At 47.2% G+C, this 21,164-nt stretch overlaps 1 protein-coding gene and 1 long non-coding RNA gene across 56 annotated transcripts in view, besides 2 other annotated features; both read left to right on the forward strand.

Moving 5' to 3' along the window:
* CACNA1C (calcium voltage-gated channel subunit alpha1 C) overlaps window positions 1-21,164 on the forward strand; it is a 727,171-nt gene that overhangs the window by 62,545 nt on the left and 643,462 nt on the right. For 27 of the 55 annotated variants that reach the window (XM_017019926.3, XM_017019934.3, XM_017019946.3 and 24 more), the window contains exon 2: window positions 2,188-2,265. The exons of 4 other annotated variants lie outside the window; for them this stretch is intronic. In XM_017019926.3, coding sequence (XP_016875415.1) covers window positions 2,188-2,265 — 78 coding nt within the window. Of the gene's footprint in view, window positions 1-2,187; window positions 2,266-19,662; window positions 20,288-21,164 lie in introns of those variants that run through there. 24 more of the 55 variants (NM_001167624.3, NM_001167623.2, NM_001167625.2 and 21 more) reach the window with 1 other exon arrangement.
* Window positions 1,618-1,907: a silencer, noted in NCBI's record as "silent region_4127". NCBI's record gives its function as "represses an Ori minimal core promoter by ATAC-STARR-seq in GM12878 lymphoblastoid cells {active_cell/tissue: GM12878}" and the evidence as "EXISTENCE:reporter gene assay evidence [ECO:0000049][PMID:35858748]".
* Window positions 15,028-16,139, forward strand: CACNA1C-IT2 (CACNA1C intronic transcript 2). The gene is made up of 2 exons (NR_046768.1): window positions 15,028-15,286; window positions 15,810-16,139. It is a non-coding gene; the product is annotated as a CACNA1C intronic transcript 2 (long non-coding RNA).
* Window positions 16,260-16,761: an enhancer, noted in NCBI's record as "NANOG hESC enhancer chr12:2158750-2159251 (GRCh37/hg19 assembly coordinates)". NCBI's record gives its function as "activates a minimal SCP1, AML or CMV promoter by ChIP-STARR-seq in naive H9 embryonic stem cells {active_cell/tissue: H9 hESC(naive)}" and the evidence as "EXISTENCE:reporter gene assay evidence [ECO:0000049][PMID:30033119]".

A 21,164-nucleotide genomic window follows, 5' to 3' on the forward strand; every position in this document is an offset into this window, starting at 1 on the left:
CACCTGGCCTGCAAGTCTATCCTGGGATGCTGAGGGGGCAGCTCTGGCATCCGACACCCTGGAACCCAGGACATGGATCCCATTTTCTCTCCAAACCCAGGCTATGTTTACATCTTCAAAACACATAAGGCCGACTGTCCCTTCTTTCCTGAAAAATGGAGCTTCATCTCCACTCCTCTGGGCTATATGTCTCCTGGAGTCTCAGAGTCCTTGGGGCTTGGGGGCATTGTGTTCAGAGCTTTGGACATGATTCACAGTATAATCCTAAGGACAAAGTTTTTCTGGCAACCTCATGCTAAAACATGAGAAAACAACAACACAACAACAACAACAAAACAACAACAACATCCCAGCTCGCTCTCATTTAAAATCATTCCCCAGGTCAAATCTCCAGCAAACATCCCTCTAGAGAAGTGAGAATAACATAGTCAAAATGCCCAGGAACCTCAGCAGATGCAGCTGCCAATAAAGTTAAAGTAAATGTAGGCACCGTGAATAGATGTCTAGCATTCCAAATAGAGGTGGTGAGAGTTTGCCTGGCCCTGGCCATACTGCCCTCGAAGACAGCTTAGTGCTGGCAGCATGTTCCGAGAGAAGCACTGACAGAGAAAGACAGAGGAGCATGGAAGAGGATGGGAGAGTGGCTCATGTTCTGGCCTAGAGAAGCAAAGATTCGTAGAGAGGGGAGGAAGAGAATACAGTAACTGTATTGCAACATTTATTAATAATAATAACGACCACATTTTTAACATCTGCTACACCTTAGGCCGTTGGAACATACTAACTCATTTTAATCCTCACAGCAACCCCATGAGGTGGATATCTTTATTCCTATTATACAGATGATGAAACTGAGGCTTGAAGAGAGCGGTTCAGTGACTCGCCCAAACTCACATGCTTAGTGTGGGAAAGTTAAGATTTTGCCACATCCAAGTCCTTTTAGATCCAAGGCCGTGTTCCTTTTTGTAAGCCTCCCTGGTGTGTGGAAGGGAGTACACTTTCTCCGTGAGATGCCAGATAACTGAAAGAGAACTACAGGGAAGATGTCAGAGGAACGAGATTCCACGCAACCTGATAAAGAACTTGCTCATGGTCAGAGTTGTCCAGAGATGGGATGAACAAGCCCAGCTGGGGCTGCATTTCCATCCCTCGGAGGTCTCAGGCAGAGGCTGAGGTACTAAGGTTGAGGGTACTGTGGTGGGTATTTAATACTAAGAGTCCCTCTTAATACTTTCTGTTTTATTACTCTAAAGTAAACTTCCCCAGCACACAGCTCAAAGAGAAGGCCAGTGTAATATGCTGGTTCAATATCCGACGACTTTGAAATAATTCGAGGGCTAACTGGCTCATCTAGTGTGATTTAAGCTCGTAGTTTCCCATTCATGTATGTACTCACTTCTTCAAAAAACACCTTTCGGAGTGCCTCCTTCGTGCCAGGCTCTGCAGATATAGCTGTGAATAACAGATAGTCCCTGTGCAAGGAATCTATAGATGGGAATGGGGAGAGACAGGCAGACAGGTGATTTTCATTCTGTGTGTAAATATAATTAGGAAAGTACAGGATGCTATGGGACACCGAATCCAACTTTGCGGGACAGGGGAAGAAGCCTTAGGAGCTGGCGAGGCGAGGGGGTGAAGAGGAGAAGGAGGTCTGGGCACTGGAAGCGGCACACGTGGAAACGGTAAAGGCCGACGCCGGTTCAGAGCCGCAACCGCGACAGCCCCGTCGTCCACCTCAGGTGCCGGCGCCCCCTGCTGGTGCGCGGAGATGCGCGGAGACCGCAAGGCCCGGGGGCGTGGCCTCCCCTGCGCCGGCGCGTGTGCCCGGGCCCTCCGCGGGGCGCCGGCGTCTGCGCCAAGGCACGTTCTCCTGCTGCTCCAGAACTGCCACCTTCCAAGTCCTGAAGGAGGCCGTTTTCCTGTCATTTGCACCTGGCCGGAGCCATTCTGGATGTTTTAAGGAAACGAGAAAACCATTCTTTCCTCTTACCGGATGATGTGCGATGTCATTTGGAAACAAAGAAGGGCTCTGTTTCTTGGAGCCCCTGGGTTCTGTCTGCAAGAGGGGCAGTCATGAGGCTTGCAAGGCAGGGAGTGGGTAGGATGGTGCTACAAGCGGCCGGGAGGTGATGGGGTGCAGGGAAATAGACATTTCCATTTCTTCCTCCTCCCTTCTTTTCTCCCCAGAATCTCCTGTGCGAACCTCTTCTGTGCAGACACCTTCCCACCCAACCTCAACAGAGCCCTGTGGGCCTCCCACGCTGTGTAAGTGCGCGGACTCATCTGAGTGCCACTAGGGGACACAGCCCAGATTCAAGCTGGGATCCCCATAATATGTGCACCTGCAGCCAGGTGTGCCTATAGAACCACAAATGCGACAGGTGAGGGGATCATCTTATTATTTTCCTACTTCCGAGGCAGGACGGTACTTAAACCATCTCAGACAGATGGTTAACTGTCCTATTTTAAAATATCTCTGGGGAGGACGATTTCACAATTCCCTGTGGCTGTCTGTTCTAGTATTTAATCATGTTCATTACCAGCGAGTTCTTCTTTATGCCGGATCTAAATCTCCACCGTTGTGATTTAAGTCTTTTTCCTTGAGGGTAGACGCTGTGGCTCTTCTGCTTCAGGGGAGGAGAGGATTCTGGTGCTAATTTTGCGGTCTTGTGAATAAGTTATCTCTTGTAACACCTTCTTTGGGGTTTATTTTCTTTACTGGTAAATGGGGTTGGAGGGTGAGTTAGGGATGGTTCCCAAGGACTTCTCAAATGTCATAGCTTTTAGACAAGTGCTGCATTGGTATCGTGTGCAATTCAATACTTAGTGGAAATAATAACGCTTTGTTGCATTGAAAAGCGTGTAGCTGAAATCTGAAATGATGCCACGTAGACCTAGTCCAGAAAGCCATCTATCCCTTAGTGTCTGAGTGGGCCGTGGGAAGGAATGAGCAGTGGAGTGGGCTGGGCCACTCACAGCTGGACCTTCCAGAAGTCACTTCAGGGTAGGCGCTCTGATCATCTATTGCACAGAAAAGGGGAATCAGGCTTTGTGGGTGCTGCCCCAGCCTCTAGCTCTGGAGAGCTCAGAAATGAACACCCAGCAGAGGGCAGTTGTATGGGACAGTGGATTTTCATCCTCCCTCCCCTTTCCTATCTTTTTTTTTGAGACAGAGTCTTGCTTTGTCACACAGGCTGTAGGTGCGATGTTGGCTCACTGCAACCTCTGCCTCTCGGGTTCAAGAGATTCTCCTGCCTCAGCCTCCCCAGTAGCTGCGATTACAGGCATGCGCCACCACGCCCGGCTAATTTTTGTCTTTTTAGTAGAGACAGGGTTTCACCATGTTGGTCAGGCTGGCCTTGAACCCCTGACCTTGTGATCTGCCCTCTTCGGCCTCCCAAAGTGCTGGGATTACAGGCATGAGCCACGGCGCCCAGCCTCCCCTTTCCTATCTTTAAAAAGCAAATGCCCTAGGAAGGGTTATACCTTAAGTCATTATCAGGTAACCCTTTAGTGACCAGATGAGGAAATGGGCTACAGAGTAGCTGCTTAGTCTTGACACTGGAGGGGTTAGCACAGGAGGATTCGGGGTACCCTGGGAGGAAGGTTTGCTAACAGCAAAACAAAGGCTCCACACCAGCGGCAAGAGACCAAGTTCACTCATTTCCCCTTGTTTTCAAAACCTTCTTGTCTGCTTACTTTGCTATGTATGTCCTTAGGAGCTGGTTCTTGCTCCAGGTGGCATGAGTTACCTTGCTTTAGGGGGCAGTTTTTAGGCAGGATTCATTCTAGGCAAAGTTCCACCAGCCAAAGCTCTCTGAGCATCCTGCCTCATCTATACATAGGAGTAAACAGAGCTTCAGCCAACGACTGGATCACATCATGAGACGGAGTAATCTGCTATTTACTTGTATTCTCTTACCTCCTCAAGTTGTTTGAGACAGAAATAAAGACTTCCTTGTTTGGTAGGCATGGGAGGAATTTTAATCTTCTGCACATGTAAATGTGAGATTGTAGGATTTCTCTTGCCTTTATTACTGGTATCATCAAACACTGCATTGGGCTCACTGTCCGCTAACAGCAATTCTTGTATTATTATTTCAGAGTTAGCTGTGAGTTAAAGTATCTTCGGGCCCCACTTGGTCTTGAAATTGTTAAAAGGCATTGGGTACACCAAAAATGTCCTTGGGCCTCTGAAGGGGAGAAAAGGGTCAGAATGGTCCCAACTCAGATGCAAGTCTCCTGGGAAGGGACGTGTTCCCCACTTTGTGCAGGTCAGGCAGGGGTGCACTGCAGAACTGGTTTCCACCATCGTACCAGTCATGGAAGGGTTTCCATCAGCTCAGGATTGTAATTGTGTCCCACTGGAGGAACAGCACGAAGTTCTGAAGATACTTGTGCCTTCTATATAACCCTCACTTCTCAGAGCATGGTCTGGGGTAGAGCAGCATCAGCCTCACCTGGAAGCTTATAAGAAATCCAGAATCTCAGGCTCTACCCAGATCTACTGAATCAGAATCTGTATTTTAAAAATAACCCCAGGGGATTCTTATGCACATTTAAGTTTGAGGCCCCCTGGTCTAGCCCACTGGAAAACAGAGTCCTTCTTGGTGGATTTCGAGTGTATTGTTCTAGGCAACGTTGTAAAGCAGGTGAGGCTTCTCTTCGGGACCACCGACTCTATTTTCAATATTCTTTTCTCTCATTAAAGCTTCCTTTTCTCTGCATTTCCCTTCACTCCCTCCCAAAAGCACCCAGACAAAACCCTACTGACGAAGACTGTGCACTCAACATAGCCCAGGTCCCTGACATACTGGAGAAAAGAGACATGATTAAATAATTCCTATGAAGCTGTTAGTGACTTAGGATTTGCAGGGTTCTTTCTCATATGGATATTGCACTCTAAAATAGGGTACTTAATGAATCACTGTTTAACCTAAAGATTATATTTCCTTTCATAGAATTCGAGTCACGGTGGCACTCTGACAGAGATTGCAGATATCTGGGGATAGGGTGACTTTTATAATCACTAATAGGATGCTATGTGGGTGACTACTTAATCCGACTATGTAACAGACTGGACCCCCAAGCTTTGGGTGACCCCCAAAACTTCCCAGCTCAGTAAGCCCTCATTATTGCTCACAGACACTGAATTCTTAGTGCTGCTTCTCAGATACTTCTTTCTTATCTTTATTATTTTGCTATGTTTGGCCACTTAAGATACAGAGTCCAGTTTTCAAAATAAGGAATGGATTTTAGGAGAGTTTTTGATAAGTCAAAGAAACATAAAAGAAGAGAATTGTTGAGATATGATTCAGGAACTATTTCTGGAGATAGCTGAACCCATGCTTAATAGGGTGCTAGTTTTGCCGGGCAGCTTTGACATGTGACAACTGTTTCTCCTTTTAATTTCCAGTTATTGTAGAAATAAATCTGGCTTACATGGTATTTCTCCTTTTTATTGCTTGACCTGATGTTTTTTTCCCCATGCAAGTCACTTCCTAGCAATTCACTCCAATATTACAGCAACACCCTGACTGTCCTGTGCCCAGGTATGTTGACAGGTGAAATCCCTTAACATAAATTTTGTCAAAAAAAAAAGCCTGTAAAAGACAGATGCTGGGAAGTGGAAATTGATAAATCCAGGTGTTACAAATGGGACACTGTTAAATGCAAGGATTGCAAATGTTATATAAGTAAACACAATGTCCATAGGTAGGAAATTGCAAAAGACAGGTGCTGTGAATATTGGTCTATGAGGCCAACAGACAGCCCTTTGCAAATAACATGGGCCTTTTAATAGACAAATAAGAGCTGAAACTTTCATGCAGAGTTCCAATCCCCTGGTAGAGGATCTTTTTGGCTAAGTAACTCACTAAACAATGATGAGAGGACAAGTGTAACAACCTCCCTTTAAACTAATCTCCCTGGGTAACCTGCCAGGGAGTTTTTCCAGGAACATTAGCTACCAGCTCAAGAGCAGCCTTTCATGTAGATACTTTTATGAGATGATTGATAGAAGTAGGGCAGGTCTCTTGGTTTCAAAATTTCTCTTTTACCAGCCTGTAATATGCCTGAAATTGCACCATTAGCAATATATTTTTTGGATTAATTCTCTACCACCAACAGGATAGATAGAGCAATCATTCATTTATTCATCAGATGTTTATTAAGCACTTACTGTGAGCCAAGTACTATTCTTGGTAAAGGAAATTCAAAGGTAAGTACAACATCGTTCTTGCCCTTGAGATGTTGAGAGTCTAGTTGGGAATACAGGAGGTAAACAAATAACTACAGCAATATAACTAGTGCTTTGATAGAGATAGCGGTAGGCTCTATGGGAACACAGAGGAAGAAGAACTTGACCCGGGACTCTTGAGCTGAGTCTTAAAGGATGAGTAGGAGTTTGCACACAGATGCAAAGGATGGAGGTCTGCAGTTTGGGTGTGGGAGGGGAGAAGGAATAAGGGATGATTTTGGACCATTGGGCCATAGGGGTGAGCATCCCTGTGCCTGAGCTGGGATTACAGTTCTTGGGTTCCTGTGGGGCATCATGTCAGTGTTGGCTGCCTATATATGTAGAGAGAGTGCTTCTGGAGATGGGGATGGGGGTAGGATTTATGCAAAGAGGAGATGGAGGATGGCAGAGACCAATGCATCTACTTGGATGCCATGGAAAGCCTGACGGCACTAGATTTTTCTTTCAAGTCATCACCTCTTCATTCAACTTGCTTTCCCATCCAGGTACTTTTCTACCCAGCTGTGGCACACCCATGACTTCAGCAGGGAGAGAGTTAAGACTTTGAGGATGGACAGCAAAACTCCATCTATTTTTTTTTTGTTCGTTTGTTTCTGTTTTTAACATTCATGATTTGGGTATTGTAGAAACTATCAAAGATGGCTTAAATGAGGTCTTTGTGTGATAGGAAATGTTCTTAGCTCTGTGCTTCCCAAACTCTTTTAACATTGAACTGCTCTCTGCAGAACATCCATCTTGGTGAGCCTTCACTAAATGCATAGAAGTGACAGCAAATAATGTAGCTGATCTAACTACCTCCCCTATAGGATTTACTTTCAGAGTTTTAAGGGAAATTTTCAAGCAGAAAATGGTTACATGGATAAAATTGTTGAGATTTAATTAGACTTTTATAAGAAATGTGAGAGAATTTTGTTATCAAAGTCTAAGCGGTAGGCTGGGTGATGTGGAGATGTCGAATACCTTGACTTTCACTTCTGAAGAACTGGTTTTAAGCATCCTCTTTTCAAATAGACAATTAATTCTTACATAAGAGATGGTGACCAACTAGTCTCTTTTTCCAAAGAGGAATAAAAGACAAAAAGAAAATGGTTGGAATTGTGGTTAATGATATTCAGGTTGGACCAAGAAAGATTATTGGGTGCTTCAATGGATTGTCAAAGATGACAGAAAATTCCATCTTTGTGGTAATAAGTACCCTGCTATGTCTATACTTTTCCTTGACAAGCTTTTTCATACTAACATTTCACTTTGTACTCAGAATCCATTCCTTGAAAGTTCCTTGGTTTATGGTTGAGGGAACTGATACTCAAAGAACATTAAGAGACCTGGCTAAAGTTACACAGCCAAGTGGTAATAGATACAAGCTTTAAACTCAGAGTTCTTTCTAATACCTGACACTTTTGTCTTCTAGGCTGTAAATGAAAATACAGCAGAATCAGATCTGTCCAATAAATCCTGATTGAAGGCCAGAACTGAAAGTATTTCTTCTGAGGCTGAGAAAAATTCCATCTCAAACATTGAAAGGGTAGAAATAGGCAGTGAAGTCCTAGTGCCTGCTCTGTTTGGCCTTTCTGGGTTAAAAACATACTTAAAATTGAGTGACTCTGTTGTGGAATAAAATCCAAACAATCTGGGTTGAAAAAGACTGCTTAGGGGTGTGTGGGTCACAGTGATGCTAAGGGTATTCTTTTTTTTTTTTTTTTTTTTTTTTGAGACGGAGTCTTGCTGTTTCGCCCAGGCCAGAGTGCAGTGGCGCTGTCTTGGCTCACTGCAAGCTCTGCCTCCCAGGTTCATGCCATTCTCCCGCCTCAGCCTCCCGAGTAGCTGGGACTACAGGCGCTTGCCACCGCGTCCGGCTAATTTTTTGTATTTTTAGTAGAGACGGGGTTTCACCATGTTCGCCAGGATGGTCTCGATCTCCTGACCTCGTGATCTGCCCGCCTCGGCCTCCCAAAGTGCTGGGATTACAGGCATGAGCCACTGCGCCCGGCCCGCTAAGGGTATTCTTGATATCCGCTGGGATAATGTGACCACAGGACACCTTGCTTGCTTTCTCCAAGAATCTCAAGAAGACTACAAACCCCAAGAAGGGAGGCATCTTGTTCAAGATCATGTTGGGGATAGAAGACAGAGTGAGAATGAGAAAGCAGAGATGTTCATTTGTTTTATGAACATTTACTTATCTGCCAAGGTCTGTAGCCCTGGCCTTCCCTGTGAAGAGCAGCAGCCTGAACCAACGTTCAGTGGCCGGGGCTGCCGAGCCAGGACCTTACGGGGCTGCAGCCTGTGCTGACCCAGGGCCTCCACAGTGCTTTGCTTGCAGATCCCCCCAAAAGAGTTGTGAAAAAGTCTGTGCCTCATCATGCGTTTTCAAGTTGACATCCCAAAAGTTTCATGATAATTTTAAATGGTTGTAAATGATGCAATTTCTGGTGCTTTATAAATCTTGACAGTTTAACATAAAATTGTTGCATTACTCTTTTAAAGTTTCCAATAAAATATAAACACTGCAGCTATTTGATACCTTCTATTATGTATTCAAAGATATATAAAAGCCCTGTTTTTAACAGTCAAAGATTTTTCATCATTTCTTTTTCTCCTTGGATACATATTTACATTCCATTTCCTTCTTAAAATTTTACCCTAATACGATATATTTTTATGCTGGAAAGTCTTTTACTGATCACGCTACCATATTACTCTGCAACAAAAAGAGGCTTATAAATTAAAATTTAAAATTTAAAAATTTTATAAACATAAGGCTTTGTGTTATACGCTTCTTTTGGATTGAATTTTCATCACAGATACTATTAATGTACAACTGAGCAAAACAACATATTTACATTATGAGCTTTTCGAGGTAATTCTTAATATAAAATGTACCAGAAATAATATATTTTACATGATCGAAGGGATATGTTGTCCGATTCAAGAGGCTTTCTAGACACCTGTATTTCAAATGTCTCCTTGTCTGGGCACCAGTATTTCCTAGATTTCCTTGTTTGGTGTCCTGGGGGCATTCACACCACAGGGATATGGACCTGGAAGGATGCAGGGTGAATGACAGGTGTGCTTCTCTGCTGAAGTGTAGGATAAGGATGCCCCTTTGAGAGACAGGAGAAGCGGCAGGTGGGCTCCAGGCTCTGCCCCGGGTTGTCCTCCGGTGAACGTGAAGACTGAGCACATATGAAAGTTGAGGGTCTGGAAATGAATTCTATTAAATCATGACTTGTACACAAGTTTCAAGATGTCCTACACTACTCCAATCACTTTCGAAGGCCACTTGGGAAATTGTTAGCATGTTCTTGATTCATCCACATAAGAATAGTTTGCATAAGCTATTCAATATAAATACAAGCATAAATATGCCTGTACTTTGAGAAATATGCCTGTACTTTAAGAGGAAGACGTGTTTTGGGGTGTTTCATCTGGATAATCAGTTGCAATAGACACTGTCACCCGTTTATCTGGAACAAATAGAACTATTATGTGCTACATAAATTATAAATGATTGCAATATTACTTCATCGCAAGATCATTATGGTTACAGCCTGCCCTCCTATGAATTAGAATCATTGACTGATATTATGCTGATTGGAACAGAAGTCAATTCAATGCATCAGAACTTGGCAAATCCCTAACCACACATGGTTCACACACATGCGGTTGTTGATTTATTCCAGCCTGTTAGTCAAGATAGTTAACATACTATGGTAATATTTTCCACATTCCTGGAGCTTAATATAATACAAATCTATTTCTTGATCATACTATATCCAGAGGGGGCTAGTGAGAGGTTCTGGTTCACAAAGTCACTCAGGGACTCAGGGTTGATGGATGCTTCTCTATCTTGCAGCTGTACCATCTGGATAATGTGGCAGGAGAGGGGAGAGACAGAAGAATTGAAACAGGTCTTCCATCTCCTCAACCTGGAGGTGACACAGTCACTTCTGCTTACATTTCATTCGTCAGGACTAGTCCAATAGTTGTGTCCAAATGCAGAATGGCTGAGAAGCTCACTCTGCCATGTGCCCCAGAGGAGAAGAAAACAGAATATTCTTTTTTTTTTTTTTTTTTTTTTTTGAGACAGAGTCTCGCTCTGTCGCCCAGGCCGGACTGCGGACTGCAGTGGCGCAATCTCGGCTCACTGCAAGCTCCGCTTCCCGGGTTCACGCCATTCTCCTGCCTCAGCCTCCCCAGTAGCTGGGACTACAGGCGCCCGCCATTGCGCCCGGCTAATTTTTTGTATTTTTAGTAGAGACGGGGTTTCACCTTGTTAGCCAGGATGGTCTCGATCTCCTGACCTCATGATCCACCCGCCTCGGCCTCCCAAAGTGCTGGGATTACAGGCGTGAGCCACCGCGCCCGGCCAAAAACAGAATATTCTTGCTAACTAAACTATAGTAGAAGTTGATATGGGTGGCATTGGTCAATTGGTCATTGGTTAAAAAAATGATTACCAAGAGTTAGTGATTAATAATAAAATAATGGGGTTATATTCATCACAAAAAATCATTATGTAAGCAGGACCGAACATGACAAAGGCAGAAAATTTGAATCTGCTATGTAAAGAGGCAAAAATGTAAACCTTGGGAGATTGAAACTTACCTTCAAGTATGACTTTGACTGAAGGAAGACCTATCTAGCTGGCAGAGGTACTTCAGCTGGGTCATACGAATACATGACTGGAAGTGTCCTGCCATACTTGACAACTCTGCCCAGCTCTTGTTTCCACCAGGCTCCACTTGGCCACTAAGTGGAAGTCATTCGGCAAGTTCATGAGAGTCACTACTGAGAAGATATCCCTTTGGTTGCCCTCGTGACTTTGCCTATTTCTAGATGTATTATGGAGCAATGACCTCTCTAGCAGGGCGGTGGTGATTAGTTGTAACTTCCCCGCCCCCAGGTACTTGGAAAATGGCCGAATCAACAACTTAGAGTGAACTAGCCAAGTGTTAATTAGTTATATGGCATTGAGGTTTACCGTTCCAGGAATGTAAATATTTGGAATTATTCCTATCAGTGTTATCTATATTCTTTTAGATTTCAGGGATGGGACCGCTGCAGGTTGACCCAAGGGTATCCCTATAAAAGATCCTTGGAATCTACAATTACAAGAGTGCATCATCTTTAAAAAAGAGGTTTCAGGGAACAAATATCCCTTTTTGTCTATTGAGGTGGCCTGGTCCCAAATGTCATATCAAGGAAAGGGTTACCTGACCTGTGTAAGACTAGGAACCAGAAATGTTCCTGGCTGCATAACCCTAGTCTCGCATGACTTCTGATACTGTAGGAAAGCAAGCTGGAAATTAATGTGTGGAATTCTAAGAGAGATGCAAGCAAAGTGACCATTTGGGAAGGAATAATCCAGAATGCAAATACAAACTGAGCCGTCATTTATTATTCATCCTTGGGTGAGAGGGAGAAGAACCAGGGGTCAGAGAGAGAAGACATTACAGATTGAATGCCAGCTGAAATATGGAAGGAAAGGTGAGTTTGCCAAGAGTTATATTAGTAGGGGGACTGTGAATAGAATGAGGGTTGATGGCTGATTTCTGATGGCCAAATAAATGTGTTTACTCTTAGGACCGTGTTTTGAAAATGACAGAGAACTTAGAATGCATTCACAGAAGGGTAAAAAGAGAAGAGAGAACATTTATAAAGCTAATTAGAAGAGGAAGGTTCTGAAAGCCCTACTGAAAAGAACACTTTTCAGCTTCCTTTGAGAAGACATTTTCTATCTAGCTCCATTGAATACGTTTGAACTGGCCTGGAACAGTTAAGAAGGTAAAGGGGTTAGGGAGGTTGAGGATCAGAATGGTCTTTGGGGTTTAAAGCCAGGTCCACTTCTACCCAGCTGAGTTGGCTTGGCCAGGTTACTGAACCTCTCCAAGCATTCAATTTCTCTAATTAAATAGCCGAGGGTGATTGACTGAAAGGATTGTTTAAGTGTAAGACCAAGTTCTGTGGGAAGAAGCATCCTCCATAGTGCAGCACCTTCGTCACCACTCACTTAAGCTCTAACATATGGCAATAACTTCTGTATTATAAGTGAAGAAACTGAGCCTCAGTGAGAGAAAGAGGTTGCTAAAGTTTCAGGAATTAGCAAATGTTGGACTTGAGATTCAAGTGAAAATGGGTGAAGAAACATTCCTGTAGGTTAGGGTAGCGCAGTGGGTTGAATAGCAGCCGCTCAGAATGTAAGTCCATGTCCTAATCCCCAGAGAGTGTCAGTGTTAGCTTATCAGGAAAAAGGGTCTTTGCAGATGTAATTAACTTAAGAATTTTGAGATGAAGACATCGTCTGGGATTATCTGGGGAGCCCTAATTCCAATGACAGGTGTCCTTGTAAAAGCCAAGCAGAAGGAGATCTGACTGCCAGAAGATGAGGAGGCAAGGTGACCATGGAGACAGTGTGATGTGGCCACAAGTCAAGGAATGCTGCCAGCCAGCAGAAGTTGGAAAGGGACAAAGAAGGGGTTCTCCCTGAGAGCCACTGCAGGCAGCACACCCTGCTGGATTTTCAACTTCTGGCCTCAAAACTGTGAGAGAATAAATTGCTGTTGTTTTAAAACACCCAGCTAGTGGTAATTTGCTATGGCAAAAACTGAATACATGTGGGAACGGCTCGCACTTTGTGAAGGCCTTTGAGCACCTAAAAAAGTGGACACAATAGTGGATAGGTCTGAGCCTTGACTATGTGGTTCCTTCTGGGGGTCAGCAGGTCACCCAGATGAAACAAACTTTCTCAGGGCCTTAACAAGTAATGAAGGTACAGCTTTGGTGACTGAGCGCTTCCCTTGGTATCAACTTCTCTTTCCAAAGAGCCTCAGGAGATGAGGCCACACATTCCCATTTTGCAGATGAGCAAACAGAAGTCCAAGATAGTTACATAATTAGCATGCACCACTGGCTTGCTGAGGTAGAGGGCCATCATTTGAATTCACACATGGTAGATGAATTCTCCCACCGGGAGAGCCAGTCCCCAGGATCAGGCCATAAATAACCTCGCTGCGTTCTGTCTTTGGGGGCTAAGCATTGCTGAAAATCACAAGGCTAGTCATGTTAGTCATGTTACCACACCTTGTTATCCTAACAACTTAGGCTGCTGTAGAATAAGCTTGAATTCTCCTCACACTCCGAGTACTCTGGCTTCCCCTTGGGACGGACGCTGGGGCTGAGCTGCCAGGAGAGTTTTCCCTAAGTGTAGTGTATAACAGCCCAGTGGGTTAGGTGGGATCTGGTCCATCCTATGGCTTCTAGATAAACAGACAGGAGGAAAGATGGAGATGTGATGGAAGGGAGAACTCTGCCAGCAGAGGTTTTTAAATACTAACATAAGTTGTGAAGGCCTCAGCGTTATTATGGGTCTTCCAAAAGAAGGAGAAAGGCCATTCTGCACCCTCTTCAGCTTTGCTCTCTGAACCGTGGGTTGGGGGATTTCCCCCAAAGCCTTCTTCTCTCCTCCATTCTAGTTCTAGTGCCTGAAATGTTGCCCACAGTAGCGGCCAGTGCACGGCCTCTGGGTTTGTGTAGACTTGGGTTCAAATCCTGATTCTATAATTTGCTGACAAAGCAATCTTCCGCAAGAAAGTTAACCTCTTAGCTACTGTTTTGCACCTGTACAATGGTGGTAAGTCTCTTTGGCAGGGCTGTGGTGAATTCAGGGCACATAGTAGATACTCAACAAATCTTTTTCACAGGGGTGAAGGATGATAACAGCTAACATTAAATGAGCACACTGTGCACCCCACACACTTTACTTGGACTATTTCATTTCATTCTCACAACCACCCTATGGAGGTAGGTACCATTATTAGCTTCATATTGTAAAAACTGGGTGTTAAGAGGTAAAGCCAGGTGTCCACATGCCCATAGCTCATAGCAGGCAGAACCTGGCTCTGTGTCTGGCCTGTCTCCAAAGACCAGGCTCTTCGCTGTATTTAAAGTGCCTATCATAGCACCTGATACTCACCAGGCATATTAAATGATGATAATTAGTATGAATTCAACAAACATATATATTGAGGGCAACTATGTGCCAGGCACTATTTACCCATAAAAATATCTAAACAAGTAACCTGGTCACAGGTGGGAGCACTACACTGTTGCATCAGCCAGCTTTGGTCAGGGAAGTGGTACCACCGTGAGTGATGTGGAGGAAGGGATTGATTGCAGAGATTAGACCTTATCCAGTTGTGGAAGCTGGTGAAGAATCTCTAGAAGGCTGCTGCCTCTGCATCTGAGGATGGGTGTGAAGTTGCCGTAATGCCAAAAGGCCGGAGGAAAGCAGGACATGATGTGGGAGAGAGTGAGGCCAAAGTGGAGCCCACAAGGACAAATAAAACCCTTGTTTGCCTTTCACCACTTCCGATCTCGACCATGAAACATAAAGCTGGAATCTTGACTACAGAGCTGGACACGTACTTTGCCCAGGCCTCAGAGTAGCTGAAGGAGGAGATCTAGCAGGAGCTGGAGGAGCTGTGGGCTCCACCATCAGGGTGAGCCAGCAATTCGGTGACAATGAGCGCATGCTGCTGCTTCATGTCCACCTTCCAGAGGCTCCACAAATACCTGTTGTGGACAACCTTAACGCAGAACCACATAAGGAAGGCAATTCTGGGAAATAGGTTCCAGCTTAGTGAAGTTGACCTAATGCAAAACCACCACACTGATGTTCCCATCGCTGGCCTTTGAGAAGGAACGGTTGTGCGTGGCCCTATGTGGAGATAAAGAAGGTAAGGTGTCAGAAGGCACATTTAAGCTGGGCTTTCTGACTCCACTCTTCCTACTCTGGCTTGCTAATCAACTTTACCTGGTTTGAAATGCCCACCCTTATATACAGGCAATTATGTGGATTAGAAATTAAGGATGAAACATCTTCCCAAAAGGTCACTGTTAAGATTTACCCATCATCTTGGTGCTCCTAGCTCTCTACGACCAACACAGAGTGGCTGACACTTCAACCAGGCAGCTTGGATTGCAATGAGGACAATGCAATGCATTTGGGCTGGAAACACTGCACAGGTAATTTTTGCAGGTGGGTGGCAGCATTTAGTGCTGAGTGGCTGTTGTGGTGGGCAGAGGGAGAGAAATAGAAGGGACACCTTGCAGACTTGATGGGAGACTTATTCTGAAGAGATTGATTAGCAGTGTTGTCCCTGGCTAGGCAGTGGGGGGAGGGCTCTGTGTCAAGAGGTGTGTGTGTGCTAAGGGAAGAGGAAGAGCCTGCTTGGCAACCTGGCTTTTCAAGCCTTGGACCAGACAGGGAAGAAGAAGAAGAAGAAGAAACATTTACGTGTAATCCCACCTCCCAAAGACAGCTACTGTCAACACTTTTTTTCCCCACCTGCCCCAGATTGAGGATACTGTCAACATTTTGGTGTGAACCCTATTTAGTCTTTTCCCTAGTTCAAATATAAACCTGACTTTAAAAGGAAAATGAAATCATAGTGCCTGTAATATTTTCGTGACTTGTTTTTCTTTTAATGTAAATCATCTTTTTCCACGTTACTAATATTCTTCCTTAATATTGTTCATGTCTATGTAGAATTTAACTGTATGAATGCACTCTAGTTCATCTATGCGGTGGTTAAGAGCGTAGGCTCTGAAGACTGCTAGGGTTCAAATCCCAGGTCTTTCAACATCAACTGGCTGTGAAACATGGGCAAGTGAGTAAACGTTTCTGTGCTTTGGTTTCCTCACCGGTAAAATGTGGATAAAAGCAATTCCTTCACAGGGTTGTTTGGAGGAGCAAATGACTTTATGTATGTGAGGCACTTAGAATAATCTCTCAGTGTTATTATTTAACCAACATTTTTGTTGAATATTTAGTTCATTTCCAGGTTTTCACTCTTACAAATATACTGTAATTAACAAATTCAGTGCACTCTTAATTGCTTCCAAAGAAAATATCTGTGGTCACATTTAAAAATCTTTTCCAGAGTGAATCATGCACTCAACACAAATTGAGTGTCCATATGTACAAGGCATTATGTTATGCACAAAGAATAAACACAGTTCTCTTCTTGAAGACACCTAAAATGTAGTAAGGAAGAGGAGAGAAAAAGGCTCATGCAAATATAAGCAAAATACTATGCAGAAAGAGGGCACACATGAAGACCTATGGGAGATTCTTTAGCTGGAGAATCAAATCATTCAATGACAGAGAAATGCAGACTCCCTCCTCTGCTCCCACCACCTCCCAAATCCCCAAATCGGAATTCACAATGGTCTCCTTTTGTCATGTTGAGAATTTGTTACCTCGAAAGAGCACACCCAGGGCTGTGTTCCAAAGTTAAAAGCTGGGATATGGGCGTATACTGCAAGACCAAATATTTAGGAAATACCTTTTTCTGGAAAGGAAAGAACACATTTCACAGCTGAAAAGAGAAGTGAAAAATGAAACTAAAGAAGCGTGGAGGTAATATTTACTTGCTAGATTTATACAGTGCCTACCTTTAGAAAAGCTGGGCTATAAATCCTGCACGTGACCCCCTAACACACATACACTCTGTTCCCAGTGACTTGGCTCTTTGTGAATTATCTGCAGCATATTTTGCAATCATTTCACCCTGTTCATCTCCCTGCAGCCCTGCCCCCACCAGCTCACCCACACTTCACCCCTCAGAAGAATGAGTAAGATAATAGTAGAGACTGAGTTTGGTGTCAGATATGCCTGGGCTAAGTCCAGGCTCCACATTTACTCAGCTGGGTGACCCTGGACATTGTAATTCAAGTCTCGAAGTCTCAGTTTCCATATCTGTAAAATGGGGATAATCATGACGATAACACATAGCTTATTGGATCGCAGTGAGGATTAAATAAGATAAAGGCTGTAAAGGGCCTATCACAGTACCTGGCACAGAGCACTCAGTAGTGTTAGCTATTATTATTATTCCTGCACTTGTGTGTAAAGGGGATGCAAACCAATTTTACTATTCATTTAAACAAATTATCAGCTACAGCAGCCTCTGAAACACAGGCCTATAATGCATCCTAAAGTAAATGCGAAATATTTGAATTTGTGTCATTTCTAATTTTCTCTATTAAGTTGAAAATTGAGTATGAACACACCAGAATGGCAAAGAGGCCAGATTTCTCTTGTAACCAACAAAATTGAGATCGCTATTAACATTAGAATGAAGATGACCGAAACAGCTTAATACTTCTCCCAGGGGCACTTGCATTTTACACTGGGGCCAGAACCACTGGACAAAGGAAGGAAACAGGAGTGGTAAGGTTTCAGGTACCAAGGGACGGACAGATGCATTTTCATAGGGGGAATTGCAACACTCCTGAAAGTATCTCAGGCACTCACTCATTTATTCAATACATATTATGTACTTACTATCTGCCAGATACTGCTCTAGGCACTGGTGAACAAAATAGATGAGACACCTGCCTTCATGGGGGTTACATTTTAGTGGGGGGATACAGACAATAAGCAATAAAGTTAATGAATAAGTAAACTATATAGTATGTTAGACAGGATTTCAGTAAGAGTAAGGGGAGATAGGGAGCGCTGTGGGGGTCTGTCAGTACTGAATCAGGATGAGGTCCTGGTGAGCCTCACTGAACAGGTGAGATTTGCGGAAAGCCTTGAAGAAGCCGAGGGAGTTTGTGTTTCAGGCAGTGGGAATAGCTAGAGCAAAGGCCTTACAATGTGCGTGTGTGTTGAGGGGTCATTCCTGGAGTGTCTGGGGCCCAGCCAGGAGGCTAGTGTATCCCGAGTGAGGGGGACAGCAGTAGGAGATGATGTAAGGGGATTTGTACTCAGCCATTCCTGTAGGTCACCACAAGGACCATGGCTTTTACTAAGTGAAATGGGTAACCATGGATGGTTTTGAGCAGAGGAGTGCTGGGATGTGATGTTTTAAATGGGTTACTCCGACTGCTGTATTGAGAAAATACCAGAGGGGAGAGGGAAGGTAGACCAGGGGGATCAGCCACAGGAGAAACCTGGGTGAAGGATGCTGGTTCAGCCCCAGGTGGTGGCAGTGCAGGAAATGAGAAGTGGTCAGGTTCTGAATTCACCTGAAGGTAGGGTCAACAGGATCTCCTGATGGACTAGACGTGGAATGATGAGAGAAAGGAGTCAAGAGTGACTCCAGGATTTTGAACTGAGCAACTAGAAGTATGGGATGGTCATCGACTGCGATGGGGAAGGCTGTGTGAGGAGGAGCAGGCTTTGAAGAGATCAGGAATCCAGTGTTTGGATGTATTAGGCTTGAAATGTCTATCAGACGGAGTCAGCTGTAGTCTGGAATTCAGGAGAGAGGTCTGGGCTGGAGATAGACATTTGATATAGACAGCTGCTGAAAGCCACGGGAATGGTTAGGGTCACCCAGGGAATGAGGGTGGATGTGGAGGCGAGGAGGTCTTATGTGGAGGCAGGTAGAGGTTTTCCCCAAGAGGGAGTTGTAGGCCCCCCTGAAAGGGATCACGAAGCCCCACTGGAGGGGAGCCCGGTCCTGCAGGGGGTGCCGTGGAACTTGCTGTGGTTGCAGGGAGTGATGGAGGGAAGTGTTTGCTTCTCCGGGAAGGAGAGGTGCTGGATAGATTCCTGCCGGAGTTGCAGAAATAATTAAGAGAAGTAGGTAAGGATATCCTAGTAGAACACGTGCTCGGCTGCCTCCAAGGAATTATTAAACCTGGGTCTAGGAATCTGTTCAGACATCTGGGCACCGCTGCCTCGCCTACCAGGCTCCGCCTCGCTGCCCCTCCCGCTTCCCCTCCCCTCCTCTATCTGTCACTTCTACAACCGCTCTGATTATAATTGATCAAACAGAATCACGGAATCACGGCTCATCTTGCCGTTTTGTTCAGTGGCCCGATCCGAAACGAGACTCTGGTAGTCGGGCAAATTGTATTCCTCCTCCTTGGAATTCCGCTCACAGAGGCCTTCCCGGCGTGGCCGGCCCAGCAGGGACGCGCCGCCGCAGCGGAGGAGAGAACGCGGGCGGGGGGCTGCAGGCCGGCGCGGGGGGCGCGACGCCGCCGGCGGGGCGCGAGGGGGTGTGTCCGCGCCGCGGCCACCGCGGCCACCGCGGCTGGCGCCCGGGTGCGCCGCGCGCCCCGGCCTCCCCGGGGGCTCCTCACGCCGCCCCTCGCCCGCCGGCGGCCGGGGCCCGCTCCCTTTGACGTCATGCGGGCGGAGGGCTCGCTCGGGCGGCGCTGCCGCGGGCGCCGGGAGGGGGCCCGACTTCGGGCTCCAGTCCGCCGCCGTGCGCCCCGCGCCGTGCGCCCGGCTCCCTGCGCGCCGCCGCAGCCACATCTGGAAGCGTTCAGCGCGTCTGCCTCCGGCGCGCCGGGCGGGCGGGCGGGCGGCGCGGGCAGGGGCGGGCGCGGGCGCGGCGGGGCTGGGCCGGGGGGAGTGAGCGCGGCGCTCTCGCGCGCCCGGTGTCTCCCTCTCGCTGCCTCTGCAGAAACAGCTCCTGCCAGAGCGGCGCTCGGCGCGGCGCGGCGGGCCCGGAGCGGCGGCGGCGGCTCTTCCTGCCTCCGCGCCCAGGAGTTGCCGGCTCCCTTTGACAGCAGAGAGCCGGGCAGGGGCCTCAGGAGGACTCGCTGGGAGTGGGCAGAGGCGCCTCGGCCCCTGCCGGCCCAGGCGGGCCCCGCGCGCCCCCCGCCCCTCCTCTCCGCCTCTTCTCGCCCTGCCTCTCCCGATTTATTTTTTCAAATGGTGTAGCCGCCGGAGGTGCGGTGCTCAGTTCTTGGAAGGGGCCCGGATGTACTGAGGATGCGTTACAGTTTCACTCGAGGAGGCAGTAGTGGAAAGGAGCAGTTTTTGGGGTTTGATGCCATAATGGGAATCAGGTAATCGTCGGCGGGGAAGAAGAAACGCTGCAGACCACGGCTTCCTCGAATCTTGCGCGAAAGCCGCCGGCCTCGGAGGAGGGATTAATCCAGACCCGCCGGGGGGTGTTTTCACATTTCTTCCTCTTCGTGGCTGCTCCTCCTATTAAAACCATTTTTGGTCCATGGTCAATGAGAATACGAGGATGTACATTCCAGAGGAAAACCACCAAGGTAAGGCTGGACCCCGCCGCCTCGCCGGGGCTCCCTGCCTTTTCCACCGGGTTCCTGCCCTACCCGCGCTCCCCGCGGCCCCGGGGCCGGTCCCTGCGGAGTGGCCCGGGGCCGCGTCCGCGAGGGGCGCCTCCGCCTCGTCGGAGCGCCCGGGAGCCCGGCGGGACCGGGGCCCGAACCGCCGCGCGAGACGGAGCGGAAAATTCCCGCCCCTCCCCCTCCGGGCCCCAGCTTCTCCAGAGCATGTGTTTCCTGTGAAATTCCAGGCGAGGGGGGAAAAGTTCCCCAAGTGGCTGCCGCCGCCTCGCTTTCTCGCGTCCGCCTGGAGAGCCCGGCTGCCTGGCCAGCCGCGCGGGGGGCAGAGGGCGCCGGCGCCGCGGAGCCCAGAGGCCCGGGGTCCCTCGCCCGGCTCGGGGCGCGGCTGGGAGCGCGCGCGCGCGCACCCTGCGCCGGCAGAGCCCGGCGCCCACGGCCGCCCCTGGGGCGCCCTCGCGCTGCCCGGCGTCCACTCTCGTCCAGGCGCCCCTGCCCTGGGCGGCGCGCTCCAGGTGGCGGGTGGGGGCGGCGGTGCAGATGTGAAGCCCAGCGCGCCCCTCTGGTTCCCCCTCTGTAGGTCCCCTTCTTCCTCTCTCCCTCCCTCCTCCGCCGCTCACCTACACCCACCCACCTCTCCACTGCTGTTGACCCCGAGCGCGCCCACGCCGCGTGTGTTCTCATTCGCACCCACATGTGGGCTAGCACCTGAGGATGGAAGCGGCGAGGAGCCGGGCGGTGTGTGGGCTTTGCTGTTTCGTGTTTGAAGGAGATCATGAAAGGGTGTGCCTGGCTCACGCGGCTCCATACTATTGCCCAGTGTTTTCCGAGCATCTCCATCCTT

The sequence above is a fragment of the Homo sapiens genome, chromosome 12 (assembly GCF_000001405.40).
Source record: "Homo sapiens chromosome 12, GRCh38.p14 Primary Assembly".
NCBI classification, from domain to species: domain Eukaryota; kingdom Metazoa; phylum Chordata; class Mammalia; order Primates; family Hominidae; genus Homo; species Homo sapiens.